Source organism: Homo sapiens, chromosome 12 (assembly GCF_000001405.40).
Source record: "Homo sapiens chromosome 12, GRCh38.p14 Primary Assembly".
In the NCBI taxonomy this organism is placed as follows: domain Eukaryota; kingdom Metazoa; phylum Chordata; class Mammalia; order Primates; family Hominidae; genus Homo; species Homo sapiens.
Window position 1 is genome coordinate 78,246,578 of NC_000012.12, and position 22,031 is coordinate 78,268,608.

The window sequence follows — 22,031 nt, forward strand, 5'->3', positions numbered from 1 at the left end:
CGTACACTATTAAAATAGCCTTCTATTTAGTCTATTTTTCAGCCTCTCTTCCAATCCATCCTCTATACTGGCAGCATAATTATCTTTGATCAATTACAGATAGTTGGAGACAATGGAGGCTGTCTATGTCCCTATCTGCCAATATTTTCTCAAAAAAAACAGCACAGATCAACAAAGAGGGAAAAATAAAAGTATACCAAAGCCACACTGTCAACATAATTTAGAGACAAAGAAAGCTAAACTGTACAACACCTGAGAAAACAAACTGCAAACTCAGCCCAGGATCTCTCGTGCTACCTTCCATCTCCTCTGACAGAAAGGTCTTCAGTGAGAAAAGGGGGCATGCGCCATTGACAGAGAAAGAAGAGGGAACCCAGGATTAGCCTAGGGTTGGTCTAAAACTACCACCAGAAAGACCAGGCTACAGTAGCAGGTCTAGAAATAACTAAAAGTGTATCTGATAGGCAGGAACATGAACCACAGGAAGGAATTTAAACATGGGTAGAATTTGAAAGGGCTCTTAGAGTCTTTTGTTGAGAGGCATAGGTTCTGAGGAGGAAAGAAAGGCAAAAAAAGAAGGAAGGGAGAAAGTGCCACCTGGTAATTCGGTGGTAAAGGGGGAATAAGCAAAAGAAAAATAAGACAAGAGAGAACCAAAACATCAGAGGACACACAACTCTACTCCCCAACCTAAGGAAACAAATTCACCAAACAGACATATTTCTTTCCTACATGAAAGCCAGACTCACAATTGCCTACATGTTAACAGCTACACTCAGCATGACATTCAAGACTCCCCATGACCTGCTATCTCCTACCTTTTCCATGACACATCAATCTTTTCAGGTTTTCTCAAATATAATTCCTTGGTGGGATTACCACATTCCAGGAGCTTATTCCTAGTTGGAAGGCTTAGAGTTACATTTTAAGATTCTCTTTATATGTTTAGATGCCATTAGAGTCATAGGTAAATTGAGTCTCTTCATTCAAATTCATAAAAAGCTATTGGACATAAAATGCCATTGGACAAAGTAAAAACAAAACCAGAAAACCTCAGAATACCAAGCAATTACATTGGTTGCATGCAATAACAAATTGTATTATTTTTATAGGTAAATCTATATGAAGATCAAGTTACAAAGTTGTATACAGAAATGGTGAGACCAGCCGGGCACGGTGGCTCACGCCTATAATCCCAGCACTTTGGGAGGCCGAGGCAGGCAGATCATCTCCTGAGGTCAGGAGTTCAAGACCAGCCTGGCCAACATGGTGAAACCCTGTCTCTACTAAAAATACAAACATTAGCTGGGCGTGGTGGCAGGCGTCTGTAATCGCAGCTACTTGGGAGGCTGAGGCAGGAGAATGGCTTGAATCTGGAAGGCAGAGGTTGCAGTGAGCTGAGATAGTGCCAGTGCTCTCCAGACTGAGTGACAGAGCGAGACTCCATCACAAAAAAAAAAAAAAAAAAAAAAAGAGACCAGAGTAAGGGGAGCATTTCTTGGATGATTTCAGTGATTTGTGATGTCAAACTATGGTATAAGCAGATTTATCTACCTCTAATACTGCAAAATTAACTAGATGCTTGTATTCATGGGCCAGGATGTCCTCTTCCCTGGATACAGTTGAAGTCCAACTCTCAACATCTGTCTCTCTGGACACCCATTTTAGAGCTGCAATTCAGACCATCTTCCTATTGCACCTGAGTACCTGACTTGAAAATTATTAGTCAAATTATTATTAGTCAAAATTACCCCCTAAATTTGTAAATGAGCTCAGAGTACAAGGATTTTGAATATGTTTATATATAAACACTACTGTAGTAGTAGTAAAGTATAAATACAACAGAATATATGTACAAAATATAAATTTGCAATACCATCTTTTGATGATGAATCATACTTAGTTGCTTTCACTATGAGAGGCATGCCAGAACTGAGAGCTACTGAGGGTTCCACAGATTCATATCTCTCGTTTGAGACTGTCTCTGGGCACATCCTCATTGAATAGAATGATGAGCAAAACCACTTGAACTATTCAAATTATTTTGTTTCTCACTGAAGGAATATAATAAAATTTCCATATACTCAATGTACACAGGCTGTCATCAAATATATATTTCCTTAACTAAAATAATCTGCTATGGCAATTCAACAAAAGTTGGGGAAGGAGCAGATAAACAGATGGAAGGATGAATATATATTCTATGTAGAAGTGCACAGTGGAAAAACCTAGACTTCGGATTTGAAAAGAAATGGATTGCAGTGTAGGTTTCCCATCACTTAAGAACTATATGCCTCTTGAGTCCCTTAAGCTCTAAGTATCTGCTCAGTGAAAATAAGAGTATATTGCAGACACTGGCAGATATTAAATTACATATATGTTAAAAATTATGAACTATACTTATCCTGTCTCTTGGGAGTCTTATCAGAAGATTTACTCACAATTTTGCCAAGTTATTTTATTTTACTATAAGGGAATTAATAAACATTTTCATGAATCAGGATATAAAAATGTGATTGGAAATCAAAAATGAATTTGGCTTTATAATAGTTTGAAATAAGGTGGGCATTCATATGAATTTTAGAAAGGCTTTTTTCCATTTAGTTCTACAGTATAAAGATAATTACTGCATTTGTTTTTAAATCATTTGTGAAGGTTGAGGTGTTGAGGGATATAAGTAGTCTCCTAAAATAAAGGATGATGTCAACACTAGAAGTGAGGAGAAAAAAAATACATGCATCCATTGAATAAAACTGCCAAATTGGGTTGTGGGTTCTAGAGAAGCTAAATTTTCTTCACATTTTTATGACTTTCATCTATATGATAACATTTAGATTTTCATGGTATATATACAAATTAACTGATAAAATACATTTTCTGAATGAACTCTAAAATTTAACTGGTAGGTATCAGGAGGTCTATCTGTGAATCTCTTGAAACTGTAAAATTTTTGTATGAACGTACATGTGTACTTGCTTTTCAGAGACAGAACAAGTACGCGTGTACATTCATTTTCAGCTGCACTTCTCATCAGATTCTTAGAAATATCCATTAGCCAAAACCATTTAAGAACCTTTGCTGTTGATGGCGGTAGGAAAAGTCTGTCAAGATATGTCAGTGCCTTGGGAAAAAGACTTAGGAAAACACCATATGTGCTTTAGAAGGCAGTGAATGAGTGGGAGCTTTTATTTCAGATGACTAGGCAAAAAGTAAACACAAACAGACTAACTAGACTAACGGTGTTTTCAGTGAGAATTAACATATATAGAATACCTGATAAAGTCTGTATTATTCCTTCTAGAGGATAATGAATCATGAGGAAATAAAACTTCAAGCTCCAAGAAAAAGAACTCATTAGGTGATATGTTCTTAGACCAAACGATGGAAGGTTGAGGGAAGGCATCAGAGTCCTTCATAACGAAAATGTGTGACAGTATTTGCTATTGGACTAGAGTTACAAGGACAGACTTGGACAATTTGCAGTACTCTATCAAGCAGTGGATTTTATACAACAGATGAATCAGATATAACATATTTGTTCCTGAGTTTTTTTTGTTTTGCTTCATGTAGAAAGTTCTTACTGATCTGACAGCATTGTAAAGTACTTGTTATTTAACAATTTTAAAAATATTATTTAACAACAATACTTTGTAGATACCAAAAGCTTAACTGTAGAACTTTTGTATCTAGTTTTATTATCATAATATTAACAGAGCTATCATTTATTTGCTTCATGTTCTTACTCATATAAACTATAGCATTTATATATCATCAGATTGAATCTGTAAGAAAAGCCTTTACGTAATATATGCCATTATTTCACTAGTTTTAGGAAATAGGAAACTGATGCCAAGAATAATTGCCTAAGATGACACACACCTAGGTCTGTGTGTTGCTGAAACCCATTCTCCTATATTTTCAGCAGTATATTTCCATTTTAGATTTGAGAGAGCATTAAAAGAGAATTAGCATTAAGAGAGTCTGGCATCATTTTCTGCCTGGAAGCAGTGGTTCAGGATAACGCGCGCTCCATAAAAGAATAAAAAACATTGATTATTATTTGCATCAGAACCCAAAAACATAGCAAAGAGAAAACAGCAAAGGGAAAGAGACAGAAAAGGGAGACTAAGAGGAAGAGAAAGAAAAGGAAATGCTGGTCAAAATAGAGGAAGGCAAATCAGAAACCAGAGACCAAAGACTTTTAAAGAACAGGAACACCTCTCTCCTTCAATCTCCACCAACATAGGCACTTGTACTGAACTATACAAAAATCTGAAGTATTGAGTAAGTACCCACATTCTATTACCATCTCTTCTAACATATTTATTGAGAATTATTCTAGAATTCAAGAGAACTATTTTCCTTTCCTATTAGTGTAGTTTTCTGTAGTTTCCTAGCTTTGGATCTTTCATTTAATAAACCAATTTTTTATTCATTTATAAACTCTCCAATCTACAATTTTTAACTACTGGCTTAAACTTTTTTCTACGTATTTTTTCTATGACATTGTTTGATTCATTTCCTTTAATATTTTATCATTTCCAAGTGGAATAAAGCAATTTGCATTTTCCAGAATCATAGATAATTTCTTTTTAAATGTGATTGTGTATTTTAAATAATAGAAACTAATGTCTCTGCCAATTGTCTAACAATAATAATTGTAGCCTCCGAGTGCTGACAATGTATCAGACACTGTGCTAAGATGTTAAGAGGTATTAACTAATTTAATCATCACAATAATCCTGTGAAGAATATTGTGGCCGAGATAGCTGGCTGCCTACCAATCTATTTCTCCTTTATTCCTTATAACCAAAATGTTACCCAAAGTGACAAAGACTCCATTTGAAGGTGTATCTTGGAGCTTCTTGCAGCCATTTGACTGAGTACTGGCCAATGAGATGTGCATAAAACAGTTGTGTGGAACTTAGGTTGTTGGGAGTTATTTCCTTTGAACCTACCCCCCAACCCCACTTTCTCCTTTTTACAATCTGAAACACAGGTATGACACCTAATGATTTGGCTGCCAGCATGGTGGCTTGAGGATGGAATCCAGTGCTGAGCATGGGGAAGCAGAAACAGAAGTAGCCTGGGTCCTGGATGATCTCCTGGAGCCACACTGCCAGCTTGGACTTCTTAGATCTGTACTCAGTTTATGAGAAATACCAAACCATATGTGTTTAGGCCACTGTTATTTTGGATAATTTATCTTATGCTACTCCACAGAATCCTTAGCTGTGACACAGGTATTATTATTTTCTCGATTTTACAAATGAAGAATCTTTCAGCTTAACCATGTTAGGTAACTTTTATTACAGCTAGTAATTGTCAGTGTTTGGATTCAAACTGGGATCTGTTTGATTCTAGAATGCAGTAATTTAATACTAGATTTAGGTTAATATATTGATAGTAATTTTGTGAATATCCAAATTATGTGGCATGCAACATAATTATTTTCTTTTTTAAATTATACTTTAAGTTGTAAGGTACATGTGTACAATGTGCAGGTTTGTTACATATGTATACATGTGTCATATTGGTGTGCTGCACCCATTAACTTGTCATTTACATTAGGTATTTCTCCTACTGCTATCCCTCCCCGCTCCCCCAACCCCACAACAGGTCCCAGTGTGTGATGTTCCCCACCCTGTGTCCAAGTGTTCTCATTGTTCAATTCCCACCTATGAGTGAGAACATGTAGTGTTTGGTTTTCTGTCCTTGTGATAGTTTGCTTAGAATGATGGTTTCCAGCTTCATCCATGTCCCTACAAAGGACATGAACTCATCCTTTTTTATGGCTGCATAGTATTCCATGGTGTATATGTGCCACATTCTCTTAATCCATTCTATCATTGATGGACATTTGGGTTGGTTCCAAGTCTTTGCTATTGTGAATAGTGCCACAATAAACATACATGTGCATGTGTCTTTATAGCAGCATGATTTATAATCCTTTGGGTATATACCCAGTAATGGGATGGCTGGGTCAAATGGTATTTCTAGTTTTAGATCCTTGAGGAATCACCACATTGTCTTCCACAATGGTTGAAGGTGAACTAGTTTACAGTCCCACCAACAGTGTAAAAGTGTTCCTATTTCTCCACATCCTCTCCAGCACCTGTTGTTTCCTGACTTTTTAATGATCACCATTCTAACTGGTGTGAGATGGTATCTTATTGTGGTTTTGATTTGCATTTCTCTGATGGCCAGTGATGATGAGCATTTTTTCATGTGTCTGTTGGCTGCATAAATGTCTTCTTTTGAGAAGTGTCTGTTCATATCCTTCATCCACTTTCTGATGGGGTCATTTGATTTTTTTCTTGTAAATTTGTTGGAGTTCTTGGTAGATTCTGGATATTAGCCCTTTGTCAGATGGGTAGATTGCAAAAATTTCTCCCATTCTGTAGGTTGCCTGTTCACTCTGATGGTAGTTTCTTTTGCTGTGTAGAAGCTCTTTAGTTTAATTAGATCCCATTGGTCTATTTTGGCTTTTGTTGCCATTGCTTTTGGTGTTTTAGACATGAAGTCCTTGCCTATGCCTATGTCCTGAATGGTATTGCCTAGATTTTCTTTCTTCTAGGGTTTTTATGGCTTTAGGACTAATATTTAAGTCTTTAATCCATCTTGAATTAATTTTTATATAAGGTGTAAGGAAGGGATCCAGCTTCAGCTTTCTACATATGGCTAGACAGTTCCCAGCACCATTTATTAAATAGGCAATCCTTTCCCCATTTCTTGTTTTTGTCAGGTTTGTCAAAGATCACATGGTTGTACATGTGTGGCATTATTTCTGAGGGCTCTGTTCTGTTCCATTGGTCTATATCTCTGTTTTGGTACCAGTACCATGCTGTTTTGATTACTGTAGCCTTGTAGTATAGTTTGAAGTCAGGTAGCGTGATGCCTCCAGCTTTGTTATTTTGGCTTAGGATTGTCTTGGCAATGCGGGCTCTTTTATGGTTTCATATGAACTTTAGTTTTTTCCAATTCTGTGAAGAAAGTCATTTGTAGCTTGATGGGGATGGCATTGAATCTATAAATTACCTTGGGCAGTATGGTCATTTTCACGATATTGATTCTTCCTATCCATGAGCATGGAATGTTCTTCCATTTGTTTGTGTCCACTTTTATTTCATTGAGCAGTGGTTTGTAGTTCTCCTTGAAAAGGTCCTTCACATCCCTTGTAAGTTGGATTCCTAGGTATTTTATTCTCTTTGAAGCAATTGTGAATGGGAGTTCACTCATGATTTGGCTGTTTGTTATTGGTGTATAAGAATGCTTGTGATTTTTGCACACTGATTTTGTATCCTGAGACTGCTGAAGTTGCTTATCACCTTAAGGAGATTTGGGCTGAGACAATGAGGTTTTCTAAATATACAATCATGTCATCTGCAAACAGGGACAATTTGACTTCCTCTTTTCCTAATTGAATAGCCTTTATTTCTTTCTCCTGCCTGATTGCCCTGGCCATAACTTCCAACACTATGTTGAATAGCAGTGGTGAGAGAGGGCATCCCTGTTTTGTGCCAGTTTTCAAAGGGAATGCTTCTAGTTTTTGCCCATTCAGTATGATATTGGCTGTGGGTTTGTAATAAATAGCTCTTATTATTTTGAGATACATCCTATCAATACCTAATTTATTGAGAGTTTTTAGCATGAAGGGCTGTTGAATTTTGTCAAAGGCCTTTTCTGCATCTATTGAGATAATCATGTGGTTTTTGTCTTTGGTTCTGTTTGTATGCTGGATTAAGTTTATTGATTTGCATATGTTGAACCAGGCTTGCATCCCGGGGATGAAGCCGACTTGATCGTGATGGATAAGCTTTTTGATGTGCTGCTGGATTTGGCTTGCCAGTATTTTATTGAGGATTTTTGCATTGATGTTCATCAGGGATATTGGTCTAAAATTCTCTTTTTTTGTAGTGTCTTTGCCAGGCTTTGGTATCAGGATGATGCTGGCCTCATAAAAGGAGTTAGGGAGGATTCTCTCTCTTTCTGTTGATTGGAATAGTTTCAGAAGGAATTGTACCAGCTCTTCTTTGGACCTCTAGTAGAATTTGGCTGTGAATCCGTCTGGTCCTGGACATTTTTTGGTTGATAGGCTATTAATTATTGCCTCAGTTTCAGAGCCTGTTATTCGTGTATTCAGGGATTCAACTTCTTCTTGGTTTAGTCTTGGGAGGGTGTATGTGTCCAGGAATTTTTCCATTTCTTCTAGATTTTCTAGTTTATTTGCATAGAGGTGTTTATAGCATTCTCTGATGGTATTTTGTATTTCTGTGGGATCATTGGTGATATCCCCTTTATCATTTTTTATTGTGTCTATTTGATTCTTCTCTCTTTTCTTCTTTGTTAGTCTTGCTAGTGGTCTATCAATTTTGTTGATCTTTTCAAAAAAACCGGCTCCTGGACTCATTGATTTTTTTGAGGGGTTTTTTGTGTCCCTGTCTCCTTCAGTTCTGCTCTGATCTTAGTTATTTCTTGCTTTCTGCTAGCTTTTGAATGTGTTTGCTCTTGCTTCTCTAGTTCTTCTAATTGTGATGTTAGGGTGTCAATTTTAGATATTTCCTGCTTTCTCTTGTGGGCATTTAGTGCTATAAATTTCCCTCTACACACTGCTTTAAATGTGTCCCAAAGATTCTGGTATGTTGTATCTTTGTTCTCGTTGGTTTCAAAGAACATCTTTATTTCTGCCTTCATTTCGTTATGTACCCAGTAGTCATTCAGGAGCAGGTTGTTCAGTTTCCATGTAGTTGAGCGGTTCTGAGAGAGTTTCTTAGTCCTGAGTTCTAGTTTGATTGCACTGTGGTCTGAGAGACAGTTTGTTATAATTTCTGTTCTTTTACATTTGCTGAGGAGTGCTTTACTTCCAACTATGTGGTCAATTTTGGAACAGGTGTGGTGCTGAAAAGAATGTATCTTCTGTTGATTTGGGGTGGAGAGTTCTGTAGATGTTTATTGGGTCTGCTTGGTACAGAGCTGAGTTCAATTCCCGGATATCCTTGTTGACTTTCTGTCTCATCGATCTGTCTAATGTTGACAGTGGGGTGTTAAAGTCTCCCATTATTAATGTGTGGGAGTCTAAGTCTCTTTGTAGGTCACTCAGGACTTGCTTTATGAATCTGGGTGCTCCTGTATTGGGTGCATATATATTTAGGATAGTTAGCTCTTCTTGTTGAATTGATCCCTTTACCATTATGTAATGGCCTTCTTTGTCTCTTTTGATCTTTGTTGGTTTAAAGTCTGTTTTATCAGAGACTAGGATTGCAACCCCTGCCTTTTTTTGTTTTCCATTTGCTTGGTAGATCTTCCTCCATCCCTTTATTTTGATCCTATGTGTGTCTCTGCATGTGAGATGGGTTTCCTGAATACAGCACACTGATGGGTCTTGACTCTTTATCCAATTTGCCAGTCTGTGTCTTTTAATTGGAGCATTTAGCCCTTTTACATTTAAGGTTAATATTGTTATGTGTGAATTTGATCCTGTCATTATGATGTTAGCTGGTTATTTTGCTCGTTAGTTGGTGTAGTTTCGTCCTAGCCTCGATGGTCTTTACAATTTGGCATGTTTTTGCAGTGGCTGGTACCAGTTGTTCCTTTCCATGTTTAGTCCTTCCTTCAGGAGCTCTTTCAGGGCAGGCCTGGTGGTGACAAAATCTCTCAGCATTTGTTTTTCTGTAAAGGATTTTATTTCTCCTTCACTTATGAAGCTTACTTTGGTTGGATGTGAAATTCTTGGTTGAAATTTTTTTTTTTTTTTTTTTTTTGAGACAGAGTCTTGCTCTGTCACCCAGGCTAGAGTGCAGTGGTGTGATCTCGGCTCACTGCCAGCTCCACCTCCTGGGATCACGACATTCTCCTGCCTCAGCCTCCCAAAAAGTTATTTTCTTTAAGAATGTTGACTATTGGCCCCCACTCTCTTCTAGCTTGTAGAGTTTCTGAGGAGAGATCAGCTGTTAGTCTGATGGGCTTCCCTTTGTGGGTAACCCGACCTTTCTCTCTGGCTGCCCTTAACATTTTTTCCTTCATTTCAACTTTGGTGAATCTGACAATTATGTGTCTTGGAGCTGCTCTTCTCAAGGAATATGTTTGTGGCGTTCTCTGTATTTCCTTAATTTGAATTTTGGCCTGCCTTGCTAGGTTGGGGAAGTTCTCCTGGATAATATCCTGCAGAGTGTCTTCCAACTTGGTTCCATTCTCCCCGTCACTTTCAGGTACACCAATCAGACATAGATTTGGTCTTTTCACATAGTCCCATATTTCTTGGAGGCTTTGTTCGTTTTTTATTCTTTTTTCCCTAAACTTCTCTTCTTGCTTCATTTCATTCATTTGATCTTCAATCACTGATAACCTTTCTTCCAGTTGATCAAATTGGCTACTGAAGCTTGTGCATGTGTCATGTAGTTCTTGTGCCGTAGTTTTTAGCTCCATCAGGTCATTTAAGGTCTTCTCTATGATGTTTACTCTAGTTAGCCATTTGTCTAATCTTTTTTCAAGGTTTTTAGCTTCTTTGCTATCGGTTCAAACATCCTCCTTTAGCTCAGAGAAGTTTGTTATTACTGATCTTCTGAGGCCTACTTCTGTCAACTTGTCAAAGTCATTCGCCATCCAGCTTTGTTCTGTTGCTGGCGAGGAGCTGCATTCCTTTGTAGGAGAAGAGGAGCTCTGATTTTTGGAATTTTCAGCTTTTCTGCTCTCGTTTCTCCCCATATTTGTGGTTTTATCTACCTTTTGGTCTTTGATGATGGTGACCTAGAGATGGGGTTTTGGTGTGGATGTCCTTTATGTTTATTAGTTTTCCTTCTAACAGTCAGGACCCTCAGCTGCAGGTGGGTTGGAGTTTGCTGTAGGCCCACTCCAGACCCTGTTTGCCTGGGTATCACCAGCGGAGGCTGCAGAACAGCAAATGTTGCTGCCTGATCCTTCCTCTGGAAGCTTCGTCTCAGGCGGGCACCTGGATTATGAGGTGTCATTTGGCCCTTACTGGGAGGTTTCTCCCAGTTAGGCTACTCAGGGGTCAGAGACCCACTTAAGGAGGCAGTGTCTCTGTTCTCAGAGCTCAAACACCGTGCTGGGAGAACCACTGCTCTCTTCAGAGCTCTCAGACAGGGATGTTTAAGTCTGCAAAAGTTTCTGCTGCCTTTTGTTCAGCTATGCCCTTCCCCCAGAGGTGGAGTCTACAGAGGCAGGCAGGCCTCCTTGAGCTGTGGTGGGCTCCACCCTGTTCGAGCTTTGTGGCCGCTTGGTTTACCCACTCAAACCTCAGCAATGATGGACGCCCCTCCCCCAGCCTCACTGCTGCCTTGCAGTTCAATCTTGGACTGCTGTCCTAGCAGTGAGCAAGGCTCCATGGGTGCGGGCCCCTCTGAGCCAGGCACAGGATATAATTTCCTGGTGTGCCGTTTGTTAAGACCACTGGGAAAGTGCAGTATTAGGGTGGGAGTGTCCCGATTTTCCAGGTACCGTCTGTCACAGCTTCCCTTGCCTAGGAAAAGGAACTCCCTGACCCTTTGTGCTTCCCGGGTAAGGCAATGCCCTGCCCTGCTTTGGCTCACACTACGTGGGCTGCACCCACTGTCCAACAAGCCCCAGTGAGATGACCTGGTACCTCAGTTGGAAATGTAGAAGTCATGCGTCTTCTGTGTCGCTGGGAGCTGTAGACTGGAGCTATTCCTATTCAGCCATCTTGGAACCCCGAGAACAACATAATTATTTTCAATGCAGCAATAGTAAGTCATAGAGGGTTAGAGAGCAGAGCTAGTCAAACTAAAGTCATAAGTATCTTTCCCAAGGGAGTCATATTTATTTCTATAGCCACAATCTAATGGTGCCTCTGGCCATTTCTCGGATACAGCTACAGGTCCAGTAACCACACAGGGAGCTGGATTAGTGTGTGTACAACTTTTCATGACCAATGAGAAGTGACAGGGCATACTGCCCATGATTGACTGCATATGTGTGTGCACAAAAACACCTGTATCCTAGACATGCCAATCAGTTCACCTGCTACAATTCACATTTTCTTTTTGCTTATCCTCCCTGACCACAGCCAAAGACATTTGCTTCAAGATACTCCCTGCTCCACCTCCCCAACAAATCTTGCCTCAAGTTGATTAGGCCATTAGTGGCACCTAATAGAAGCCAAAGCCTCCAAAGACCAGACTAAGTCAATTAGATTATCCATTTTAACAACAGAGACATGTGTATGTTTATGTAATATCCAGATTTGAAGTCACGTATATTTTAGGTCTGTAAAAAAAAAAAAAACTTATGAGTAGTCAAAAGAGACTGATGGAAGAATGATGCAGTTATACCAAGTGATTTAAACACAGTTGTAAGAATTTAATGCTGATAGCAGCACTTGTCTAACTATTTTCTCCTTGTTCTTTAGATTTCAACCTCACCATCCCTTCTCCTATGAAGCCTTTACTATTCTCTAAAAATTAGTTGGGTTCTGCATTTAATATGTCACCTGTGTTCAATTTTACTATTTCAAAAGTTTTTAGATAATTGGTTTAATGTTAATGTCTATGCTCTTCCCTAAACTGTAAATGCCAAAAGGGCAGAGACAATTTCTCATCTATTTTATGCTGCTTAGACAGTGCCTAGCACATAGATAGCGTTCAATATGTATTTGTAGTCAACTCTGACTTGAGAAGAAGGGCTAGTTACCTTAATCCTGGAGGCAAGTTCCTGACATGGCCACAGTTAGATACAATCGTACTTTGGATTTTATATCTAAGTGTCCAATAAATGATCGTGTTTTTAATTATAATAACCTCACCATTTCTTTCTTGGTTTTGCTTGAATACATTTGTTTCTTGAAAATGAAGAAAAGATTGTTAGGGAGAATGTGGTGAAAGTAAGTGGTTAGGTGAACAAAGAAGGGAAAGGCCAAAAATTTAGAAAAGTAGAAATTGGATCAGGTAAAATAATAAAAGATATTCAATCATTCATTGCTATATCTTCTTAAAATAAGTGCAGTTATGATTCTTATATCAACTTTCTATTTTGACCAGCAATTAGAATATCCTTTAACACAAAACAATTTTTTAAATAAGTGGTGAAAGTTCAAATTGAATAATGATATAGTTTTTTTCATTGACATTTGTTTTTAATCCAAAGAGAAAGAAGTATAAGATTTGGCATAGCCAGAAGTAAGTAAAGAAAACTTGTAGGAAGGAACGTTTTATTGAAAAGCTCATTTAGGGGTCTGGCATATTCATTAGAACCTCCTGATTGAGAAAAATAATGGTTTTTAAACCTACTGTTTAACCTGTCAGCTCAAACGCACATTTCCCCTATATTTCGTGAATTTATTTAGTTGTAAGATATAAATAATAAAGTTCATAAACAAATCAGGATGGTAGACAGGGAATAAACAGGTTTCTGTCTAGCACTTTGGAAGGAGTGGTTGCCTAGAACAATTTAAGCTAAGAGATGCCACACCATTGCTTTCCCTGAAATCAAGCTTTATAGGTGACAGATGGCACAAAATCAATAACTGATCAGAGAATAGCACTTGGCATCTTATCCTGTGGGTGGGTAGAAAAGGGTGTTTAAATTTTAAGGGAAAAACATAGTGCACAAGCAAGACTGTCATAGAAAGACTGAGAATAAGGCTAAGGAAAAGAGCCATTTTCTTTCCACTTAATGACCAGGAAAGCAGTGAACCAAAATCTCATTTGCAGCTTGTCAGAGTTCAAGTCAAAATAATTTTATTTCACCTCATTTCCCTAGGATGTACTGTTTAATTTCAAATTACTGCTAATATTATTCACATATTTCCTCCCTTCTTGGGTAAATGTCTATGACCATTTCTTTATGTAACTGTATGTGTGGTAGAAAAATCAAGGGCTGAGGAGATAATTGGTGTTCAAGCCTCATCTAGGTCGTGATTATTGTTTTACTAGCATTCTCATAATTTATTCATCATCAGGAGAAATATCCTATGATGTCGTCTCTCTGTCCTTCTTATATCTCAGGCTATTCACGCTAAGCTCATGTTGCCCAGGGCCTGCAGGTCTGTTGCACTGGTGCCACTTCATCCCTTTGCAGCTTGCCTAGATCTGAGTGCCCCCACCTGTGCTCCAGATCCACCATGGCAAAGCTTCTTCACTCTGTACTGGGTAGGCCACGATGGTAGTTACCAGACATCAAATACAGGAGAGAATATTCAGAAATATTGAGTGAGAGATGGCCTGTGGGCTCACTCATATGTGTGTGTGCACATATATGAAAAGATGTGTGTGTGTGTGAGAGAGAGAATTTGACAAAAAGCACTGACATTAGTTGATGTTAACAACAAAATTCAGCAAAGCTCAGAAGCTCTTATATGAATGAGGGACAGTTTATACAAGGACCTTGAAGAGGTATATGGGTAGCATAGACTCCATGAAGAGAACATTCATTACACCTGTGCAAGGCATAAATCACATTTCCACTCTAAAAAACATGACAAGCAGCCAGCTGTTTGTCTGTAAAATGGAGATGGAATATTCATTATGTGAACCAAGACCAGGAAAAACAAAAGTATAGTTAAAATGTGCATGTACATGCATGCCTCTGCGTGATTGTGGGGGTGTGTGTGTGTGTGTGCGCGTGCGCGCGCGAGAGAGAGAGACAGATTTTGTTACTGCTGCTATTCCCTTTCTTCAGAGAAGCTTTCATAATAAGCTGTTAAGGCTACAAGAAGGGATAAAGAAAAGGGTGGGGGAAAGCAGTGCAAGTTACTGGAGCTAGTGGTCAGAATGGGGGTCTAGGACCAGTCCATGTTAAAACATTCAGCTTTTGTTGGAGGACAAGAAACAACATTTATAATATGCCCTGGCAGCAGATATTCCATTGTATTGCCACAATTATGAGATTTGACCCCACTTCTAGTTGAAGGGTATTTGAAAATTCCTAAAAGTACCTGGAGTTCCACTTTATGTGGGATTAGGTTCTAAAGGTAGGATTTAAAGTGGAATGCACAAATATTCAAACTTAGCCAAAATCTTTCTAAATCTTTGTATCAGTTAACTATAGTAGCAAAATAGCTCCAACATTTCAGCAGCTTAAACACAAAGGTTTCTTTCTTTTTCATGTTAAATGTTAGCTGGATTTGCCTGCTAGAGATCCAGAAATTAAGAATAATGTATATTCCTATCTCTTTCCTTAACGTTCAGATTCACCTATTTCTCTTCTGTCAGTAAACACTTTTATCCATCTCCACTCCCACTACTTTGGTGCACTGTGAAATCATCATCTTCCTGGGCAAAGGAAAAATCTCTTCACGGTGTCTCTGCTTCAACTCTCCCCTGTCAATCAATTCTCCCTATAGTGGCAAGGGAGATTTTCTTAAAGAGGTAAGTCTGTAACAGCATCTCTCTGTTTAAAACCCTCTGTCACCCTGAAATCCTCAAGGTGGCTGAAAAAGCTCTGCTTGATCTGACCCTACCAGCTCCATGTGATGTTCTTTGTTCTTTCTCTCTCCACCTCGGCCACAGTGACTTCATTTTGTTTCTCAAGTTCTTTGTACCACATCTTTCCTCAGGGCCTTTACACCCAATGTTTGTTATGGCTGAATCATGGCCTTCCTTTCCATTTCCACCGGCCCCATGCCTTAGCTGGTCTGTATTTATTTAGAAAGCTTCAGACTGAAAGTCAATTCCTTAGAAAAAGCTCCCTCCCTGTCAGGCCAGGTGCCCCTGTTCCATTCTAGTGGGGGCTTCTTAGGACTCTTTTTTTTCTAGCACTTACACCAGGTATATGTATCTAAGTACTTTTTGAAACTTACTGGATATAGAAGTGTGGCCATTTTTGCCATGATCTAAAACAGCTACATGGGGAAAGGGAAGCCCTCATAATACACTAAAAAAATTTTTCCGGCCGGGCACTGTGGCTCACACCTGTAATCCCAGCACTTTGGGAGGCCGAGGCGGGCGGATCACGAGGTCAGGGGATAGAGACCATCCTGGCCAACATGGTGAAACCCCGTCTCTACTAAAAATACAAAAAAAAAAAGGGCGTGGTAGCGGACGCCTGTAGTCCCAGCTACTCAGGAGGCTGAGGCAGGAGAATGGCGTGAACCCGGAAGGCGGAGCTTGCAGTGAGCCAAGATCGCGCCACTGCACTCCAGCCCGGGGGACAGAGTGAGACTCCGTCTCAAAAAAAAAAATTCCACTTTGGATATAAAGCTCTTATGGACTCCATATAAGAGTTTACACTGAATATCACAGGCTCCTCAAAACAAATATTTAGTGGGGTCACAGATGCAAACCTGAACCGTTATATTTATTTCAAAATGAGTCTTCTGGTATAGCAGTTTGAAGACAATTAAGATACGGTAGTAAGCACAAGTACTTTGCAAATAGGCATTTTTTCCTCTCCTGATAGTGCTTCAATGCTCAGGAACAGGGGACAAATTAAAACATATTTAACTTGTAGAATTACAGCATCTCCTGGGCTTGTCTCTGGACTGTGAAAGGAATCATCTGGGTATATTCTGGATTATCTAAGGAATCAAATGGGAAAAGATCTTGGCTGAGTTTCTAGGTACATAGCTGCATTAAACTCCTTTAACCATTAGCATTAACTTTTCTGCAGGCTTCTAGTGAGGTATGTATGTACATTGACCAAATACATTAATATAATTTATAAGCATTTTGTACGCCTACATTTTGGTTTCCAAGCAATAGACCATTCTTCTTGTTTAAGCGCTAACAAAAACATTTAAAGACCAACAGTAACAATAGAAATTTATTCTTGCTTTGTTATGTCTCTGCCAGGTTTTGCTATCAGGATGCTGCTGGCTTCATCAAATGAGTTAGGGAGGAGTCACTCTTTTTCTATTGTTTGGAATAGTTTGAGAAGGAATGGTACCACCTCCTCTTTGGACCTCTGGTAGAATTTGGTTGTGAATCCGTCTCGTCTTGGGCTCTTTTTGGTTGGTAGGCTATTAATTATTGCCTCAATTTCAGAACTTATATTGGTCGATTCAGGGATTTGACTTCTTCCTAGTTTAGTCTTGGGAGGGTGTATGTGTCTAGGAATTTATCCATTTCTTCTAGATATTCTAGTTTATTTGCATAGAGGTGTTTATAGTATTCTCTGGTAGTTTGCATTTCTGTGGGATCATTGGTGATATCCCCTTTATCATTTTTTATTGTGTCTATTTGATCTCTCTTTCTTATTAGTCTGGCTAGCAGTCTATGAATATTTTGTTAATCTTTTCAAAAAACCAGCTCCTGGATTCACTGATTTTTTTTGAAGGGTTTTTTTGTCTATCTCCTTCATTTCTGCTCTGACTTAGTTATTTCTTGTCTTCTGCTAGCTTTTGCATTTGTTTACTCTTGCTTCTCTAGTTCTTTTAATTGTGATGTTAGGGTGTCGATTTTAGATCATTCCTGCTTTCTCCTGTGGGCATTTAGTGCTATAAATTTCCCTCCAGAAAAAAAAAATTATTCTTGCGTGGTTCTGGAGACTAGAAGTCCAAACTATTTTTTTTTTATACACAACAAAATATTAACAATAGCATGCTAGAAATGAAGTGTGAACTGGCAGGCATTAATGCTTGTACTCCCTTTCCCCTCACATGTCTCGCCTTTTGTTTCATTTTTAGCCAATGGAGATGTCAAGAAATATATGTTTTTCATTGTGTCTGCAAATAGAGGAAATTCAAGTCTCAAATGCAGTGATTTTTCTTTTTTGCCAATATAGAAGTAGCAATGATTATGAAAACACTTTTTACATTCTGAGAAACCACTATGTCCCAAGACATGGCAGTAAAAAGAAGATAAGGCACACAAGAAAATCATGTCTTTAAGTCATGAACCATTAAGTTCTCATGTACTGGAGGACAGCTGACAAATTGGCCACTTTTAGGACATATCCAGCTGACTCTTGGTGGAGGTTTTATACCCAACCTCTACCGGCATTTTATTTAAAAATTATTTTCCCCAATATTTGCTGTTTATGTTTAGGGACCCTCAGTATATCCTTTTTTTCTCTCTTAAATAGAATACGGAGTTGATTAACTTTTTGAGTAAATGAGTTAATTGTTCTTGTGAAACAAATTGACTGACACCTGCAAAAATCTGTGTTCGCTGAAATTCAAGCAGCTGTCTTTCCACAGATAGCCTGGGCCCCAGAGAACATGCCCAATGTGATGCTCAGGGTTTTTTCAAAGCATTCTCTCCCTACTTTATTCCTAGAGCTAAGATTGGTATGTTTTTCCTAAATAAACCTCCTCTTTCCAAAAAAAAAAAAAGCATGTGTGAAGCTTCTACTATAAAATGCCCATCCTGTCTATAGAGCTGAAGTCTGTCCTGGCTGAAACATCAGATCCTGAGTTTTGTACCTGCAGGCTAATGGTGGACAGAGTTTAGCCCTTAAGGCCAGCAGATTTCAGAGTTTACTGTTATTACCTTCCTTTTTCATTGTAGAACGTTTATAAGAAAACTCATTAAAAAGCTCTCTACTTAGTATGCACTTGTTTTTGCTGCCTTTTGACTGGCAAAGAATACTTTTAGTATTATATAAATCATGTTTTGATTGTCTCTAGGTGTAAATCATATTGACTTAGGGAAGAATTTCACGTGGTCATGGGATTTGAAGGGGTTTATTTCATCTTGCTGCCCTGAAGTGAGATTATAGTTCACTGCACTGGGCTGATAAAGTCTCTATTGTTTTAAAGATCATTAGAAAGAAAATCCCAAAACATGGTCTATACCAGAGCATGCTCTGAGACCAGCAGGGATTTTTAGAAATGCAAATTCTCTGACCAACAGAATCTCAGGTTGTAGGCCAGAATGTGTGTTATAATAAGTCTTCCAGGTGATTTGTATATCTGGGAAGTTTGAAGAGCCTTGAGCTATACAGTAGAAGCAGTTGCACACAGTCCATGGTTAAGAGTATAAAATCTGGAGTCAGACTGCCTGAGTTTAAATCCTGTTTGGAAGTCTTACTAAGCTATGTGAACTTGAGTGAGTTCTCTCTCTCTGCCTTAAATATTCTCATCTATAAAAATAGGATTAAAGTGCCACACTCATAGATTTATTTTTGGGATTAAATGAGTTAGTAAGCATAAAACATTTCGAATTGGACTTGGTACATAGTAAGCACAAATATGTATTATTCTCTACTATTAGAAACTTATTCTATTGTATAAAAATCTCTGCAACAGTTTTGTGTTCACAAACATTTTAGAGGACTCATAGTCAAACCGAAACTTTACTGGAAATCCAAAGAAACCAGATTTTGAAGTAGGAATAATGTTCTGTCATTACTTATTCTAATTGAGAATTGCTTTGCTTCTGGCATATTCTGAAGTTCACATGAATTGGGGAGAAAATGACAAATATGAGAGAAAACATATAATGTATAATGTTACAGACTTTGCCTTGGCAATCAGAGTGCGTTTGGATCCAAGTTCTGTAACTTATTGGCTGTAAGACTTTATTGACCTTTTTTCCTTTATGGGAAGTGCCTTTTATGTCCGTACTTGCTTATCTTCTAGGTTGCAGATATTTTCTTCCAATAATTTTATAGTTACAGCTTTACTTTTAGATATATAATCCATTTTAAATTAATTTTAGTACATGGGGTGAGATATAGATTATTTTTCATATTTTTTTCTTAAGAAGGGTAGTTTTTCTAGAATAATTTCCTGAAAAGAGTATCCTTTCCCCGCTGAATTACGTTTGCACCTTTGCACCCTCAGTTGACTAAAGTATAGCACAATCCCTGAACTTTTTGTTCGGATTATATCCACTTTACATGAAATTCACTCAATCTTTATTATTTTAGCTTTATACTAAGTCTTGAAATTCAGTGGTATAATTCCTCCAACTTTGCTCTACTTTAACAAGGTTTTAGCTACTCAATGTATTTTATCTTTTTATATAAATTTTAGAATAAGCTTTCCAAATTCCATTTTTAAAAAAGCCTACTGAGATTTGATGGGGTTTACTTTCAACCTGTAGATCAATGTGGGAAGAATTGATATCTTAATAATACTTTATCTTCTAATCCATAAACATGGCCATTATCTTTATTTGGGTCTTTCGCAAGTCTCTCAGCAATGTATGGTGTTTATCAATGTATATATCTTTTACTTACATTGTTAAATTTTTCATAATTAATATTTGGGGCACTAGAAAATAGTAATTTTAAAATTTTATTTTCAGATGGTTTTACTAGTTTACAAATATAGTTTTTTTAATATATAGATGTTTATTCTGCTAACTTCTTAATCTCATTATTAATGCTGGTAGCCTTTTGGAGATTCCTTAGGATTTTCTATAAGGACAAAAATACCATCTACGAAAAGATAATTTTACTTTTTCTTTCCAGTATGTAATTTTTTTCTGGCTTGCTGCACTTCCTAGGACCTTCAGTATAATGATCAATGAAATGGCAAATAGATATCCTTGGTATTCTTACTTTAGGGCAATTTTTTTTCTCGCTACTGAAAATAGAATTTTGGTATATTACTGGTAAATGTGGTCTATAGGTACTACTATATTGCATATTAACATTCTCTATTCTCAAAGTTTTATGTAGAAAAATAAAACTCAACTTTATCATTTGTATCTGTTCTCAAGCCATTAAGCACAAATAAACTCTTAATAGATAAAAACTGTGCAATGCAGTAATTCAAAAAAAAAAAACAAACCTCCCTTCAGATTGATACCAGTTAATCTATACATTGTCATGGATTTGCTGAATTCCATGATATTTCTCTTTGCCGTTAAATAAAAAGGACCCCCTCAAAGAAATAAAGTCGGCTCTCAAATAAGCAGCCTGTTGTGACTTACGTTGTCACAAACCACCACTTTCTGTAGGTTAAGTGATAATCAGATTTTAAATGCCATGAAAGTGGTAACTGGATTTTCTGGGTCTTTCTTTTCATGACTGTTTCTTCAGCACTCAGCACAGTGTCTGATATATCCTGGAATTATAAGTATCTGTTGAAAAATGAAAAACAATTTATTCTTTTATTTTTAAAAACAGGAAATCATTTGCTTTAAGTTTTATGTTCTCAGAATCCCTCCCAATCACTATAATTCTATTTTTTTTACATTTGTAATATGCAAGGGCATGCACACAAAAATATGAATAATATGAATATCCATGTGCCTACCATCAAGAATATAAAATAAAACTTATTTAGCTTAGTTGAAACTGAGCCAACAACTGCGTCAAATACGTTTTTAAATTTCATTCATTTAAAGATAGTTTTACTACATACACAAATACCTATAAAATATGTGAGCATTATTATGACTGGCTGAAATTTTAAAAAATTATAAAACTGGTATAAAATTTTATAGCCCCCAAGCAACTTACTTTTATTTGTTCCCTCTCAACATATTTGAAAGATTCATCTGTGTTTATAAGCATGGGTCTGTTTTATCAATTTTTATGGCTTTATACAATTCCTTTGTATGGGTATTCCACATGTATTTATGCTTCTCTCATAGGTTGCGCTTCATTTCTTTGCTATTATAAATAATGCTGAAAAAACATTCTTGTACATATTTTCCTAGTTTAAGTCTATAAAGGTTTCACTAGGCACTTTTAAATGGATATCATTGCGAAGTCACTCTTCAAATAAATTGTACTAATTTGTACTTCTGTGAGCACTCTATTAGAGTCTCTACCTTCTTAAAAACATGTAGAATCATCAAACGGCTTACAATTTACCAAATAATTATTGATTTGTTTTCATTCATCATTAGAAAAGTTGAGTAACCCTTAATTTGTTTATTGATCATTTTGGTATTCCTTGTCTTCAATTTCCTGTGTATAGTAATTGTCCATTTCTCTATTTTATTTTCATTTTCTTATTAATTTGAAGGCTTTATTAAAATATATTTTTGATAGTGATGTATTAGATGAGTCATTGCATATGCCTTCTACACTGTTGCTTGTATCTTCTATTTCTTTGGTTTCTTTGATTGTACAGAAGTTTATAATTGTTAATACAGTACAGTTTATCAGTCTTTTCCTTTATTCTTGTGCTTCTTGCTGAATTAACACCTCTGTTTAGTTTT